We start from the raw sequence: 4015 nt of genomic DNA, 5'->3' as shown, positions 1-4015 counted from the left end.
ATTTAAACTACCTATTGGATTTTTCTCAGTTGTTATATTCTTTATCTCTAGGATTTTTATTTTTTAATTTTTACATTTCTTTGTTAAACTTCTAATTTTGTTGATGCATTGCTTTCCAAATTTTATTTATGTTTCTATTTAAATTTTCTTAGAGCTTTCTGAATTTCTTTATAGGTTGATTATTTGGAATTATTTTTTGGTCATTTTATAGATCTCCATTTCTTCCAGGTCTATTACTGGAGCTGTATTAGTTTTTTTTTTTTTTTTTTTTTGGTGGTATCATATATTTTCCTGATTTTTCATAATCTTTCTGTCCTTATAATGATACCTGTGTGTTTTAGCAGACAGCCACCTCTTCCAGCCCTTGCAGGTGTTCTTTGGTGGTGATAGAACTTTACTATATAGTCTAGCCTGGGATTCTGGAGGAATCAGCTAATAGCAACCTCAGACAGGCTAACCGTGGTTCAGGTGTCCTAGTTGGACTGGTCACTTCCTGTGCTCTGAGGTCTAATGGTACTGCTGGTTGTACTCTGTGGTTTGGTGAGACCACTAACTGGACTCTACTGTCAAATGGGGCTTCTGGCTGGACTCTATGCTTGTCTCTGAATGGGCAGGGTTGTAGATTTTCTTCCTTGGCTGGATGATTCTGTTGCTCAGAATCTGTAGTTGTGCAGGATTATACGCTGGGCTCTGAGACTGGATGAAGTGGCTGGGGTAGCTGCTCAACCACACAAGATGAGCAGGGCCAGAGGCCATGTTTCATAGATATGCATGTAGTCTTGCCTCTTGGACTATGGTGGGCTTAAGCAGAGCACCAAGGCTTTTTGGAGTCACTGCTCTTCAGTTTAGGTTGAGTGGGGCCACATGCTCTCTCTGTGAGTACCAAGGCTGTATGGAGTAGCTGGCTAGGGACTCAATCCTGGCAAACTTGTGGACTGTGTTCCTGTAGCACTATGCTGTTGGCTAGTCATGATGTAATCCTGCTGGTACTCCCAATGTTTCCCATAGGCTGACAGGAGTGAGATTTCTATGAAGGGTCCCAGAATTGTATGGAAACTGAATGTCTACCTCCAACTCATTTTTCTCACTGTAGAAACCATGGGTCCATGGGAATCCTCTGTGTGTGGCACTGTACTGCCTTGGGGTATGGGTGGTGCAGTCAAAGAGAACCATTCCTCTGATCTCCTGAACATGGTTTTTCTCGCTTTGGTGGTCCAAGTGGATCTCTCAGCCTCACTCCTGAGTTCGGGGATTTCCCACAGTTATTCTTGTCTGTGGGCAGTTGCTAGCTGGATTTCTGTGGGGAGAGAGTGGAGGTGGAGAACTTCTATTCTGCCATCTTGCTGATGTCACTCCAATTTTGGAATTTTTGACTGACTTGTTCACGTTTTACTTTAGAAGTATATTTAATGACTGATGAATGTAATTCAATCCCAACAAATCCAAAAGTTATGATTTGGGAACTTGGCCAGAGATTCTAAAATTCATGATAGAGAACAATCATGGCCAAAAATTTCTAAAATATAAAAGTTACACACCAAAAAATTGTTTTTCAGTTTCCACTGGTGAAGCTTTTCAAATATATTTTTAGAACACAAGATAGAAATATCTCTGCAGTAACAAAAATCATAGGCCAGAATGAGGCTGAGTATTGACAATGATCCATTCCATCTACTGGAGAAAAGTTAACACACATGCACACACAGAAACACACACACACACAAATGCATTCATGCAGTAAGCCATGCCTATAATTGGAGATGAATCCCTATGCAAAGTCTACCCCATTTATCATTGCTACACTGTGTTGCTCTAATCCAGAAATTTCCCACTTCCAGAAGTATACTCCACAGTCACAATAAACTAGAGCATTCTCTATAAAACTCAGTATGTTCCAGGCCCCATACTAAGTGCTTTACATACATTATCATATTGAATCTTCCCAAATAGTGACTATTCCTAAGATAACAGATGTATTTTCATCCTCACTTTATGGATGAGGAAGCAGAACTTTAGAGAGTTTAAGTCTTCGTGCAAGATTTAGGTGAGTATGTGGTTAAACATGGATTTGGAATAGCTAAACAGAAGATATATTTTCTTAATTTATAATAGAATTGCTAACAGTTGACACAATAATTTTTTACTGATGTTATATGAACATTTCAGTATCTCACTCAATGTTTTTGCTATGAACCACAAATTATTAAAGGTGATTTTTAAAAACTGCTTACCAAACCACACTCACACACTGCAAGAAAAGCAATGTAAAAGTCTCAAAGATGTTTTGTTAACATTCATGTTAAATATTTGTGCTCCAGATATTTTAAAAATGCAAATCCATAAAATTATATTTTATGAACAAATTTTAGTATTATTTTATGATGATATTAACCAGAACAGCAGCTCCAAGAAACTAATCATCAGGTGGTGAATTAGACATCATTTATTTATTCATTTCAGACAAAGTGTTAGGTTCCAAGAGAATGGTGAATATGAAAACTATGTACCATCCTGCCAATGAGCACATTCACATGGTGACAATCTGATTTCCTAAAACTGAAACAGACTGCTTTAAAATAGCTCTTCACCATTCTCCAGAAAACACATTAAACATGTTTTACTTTTCTTTTAATAAGAGAAGCAGGAGTAATTTAAGACTCAGAATTAGTAAGTGTCCTTTTCAAGAGTGTAAGTAAAAAAATATATGTAATTAATTGTGAAAAGCACTACTAGCACTAATACCAATTCTCAAGTTGTTTAATTTATATTAAGTTCTTTCTAAAAATTAAAACATTCTAAAATATGTATAATTTTCATACATGGCAATCAAAGGTAGATATTATTTTCTTCTTTGAGGTATTTTCATACAAAGGCACTATGGAGCCTCTTGATATGGTCTCAGCATAGAGGTCTCATTTAGCCATGCCTATCTGAGGACATCATACTAACCCTGGTTTTGCCTAATCGGGGCACATGCCCAGCAGGCCATGAGTAACAGTGTTCAAATGCTGCCACCATTCGGCTAAAGAAAATAGGCACCAGGTCCCAGGTAAAAGGCAGAGAGGGGAAACATAAAGAGGCTGACATAATTTTATGTTTTGAGGGAGTTTTTTTCATTTTAGATTTGCTTCATTGTAAAGACCATTGAAATAAATTACAAGAATTTTTATATGCTAGGGTCTTTCCATTAATAGTTTTCATTAATGAAGTTTTCTGCTCATGCTATTGGGGAAAAACATGTAAAGAATAATACAATTTAAAAATTAGGTAGTTAAATGTTTGATGATCTAACCTTGATTAGTTTACTTCCTTATTCATTTATTTATTGACTTAGGCAAGTGACCCTAATGATTCAAAACAAAATTAACAATTTAACAATTTAGTGGTAAAATTTTGGTAGATAACCTTCCGTATTCTTTCTATGCATATTTAAATTTATTTTACCAGAAAGGAAATATATCATACAGTTTGTCAACATTTATTTACATATAATTTAATCCTTTATATTTCATCCAGAGATATTGATAAATTTTTTAAAATGCCAGTTCTTACAGACTTACTTTGTTCTTTCAAGGTTGACACAATACTATATTGTAAGTTCGTATAACCAACCTCTTAGCATGGAAATTTTAATTGGTTGCAAATTTTTGTATTTAAAATGATCCTGTGGTAAATATTATTTGCCATTTTATTCCCAGTATCTCACATAGTGCCTGGCACATAAAAGGTGACCATGAATGTTTACTTAAGAAAACATGTGCATCTACAGTAGGAAAACTTTCTTTGGGTTAAAATATATATCACTTGAAATTGAATTTTGAGAGACTTTATCACATGGGATTCCAAGAAGGATATATTAATTTATACTACCTCTCTTATGAAATAAATTTGCACATCTTACTAACTCTCAACAATTCTATTATAAATCATTGTAATGCTTGCCTATCTGATCAAATAAAATTTTAATTGTTTTCTTTTTTATTCTTCCTTTAGTGAGATCAAGTCTTTACAAATT

At 35.0% G+C, this 4015-nt stretch overlaps 1 annotated feature.

The window, feature by feature from the left end:
* Nucleotides 2919-3068: a silencer, noted in NCBI's record as "silent region_17530". NCBI's record gives its function as "represses an Ori minimal core promoter by ATAC-STARR-seq in GM12878 lymphoblastoid cells {active_cell/tissue: GM12878}" and the evidence as "EXISTENCE:reporter gene assay evidence [ECO:0000049][PMID:35858748]".

The sequence above is a fragment of the Homo sapiens genome, chromosome 6, assembly GCF_000001405.40.
Source record: "Homo sapiens chromosome 6, GRCh38.p14 Primary Assembly".
In the NCBI taxonomy this organism is placed as follows: Eukaryota; Metazoa; Chordata; class Mammalia; order Primates; family Hominidae; genus Homo; species Homo sapiens.
Note: the sequence above shows the minus strand (reverse complement) of the source record. Positions and strands in the feature narration are given on the sequence as shown.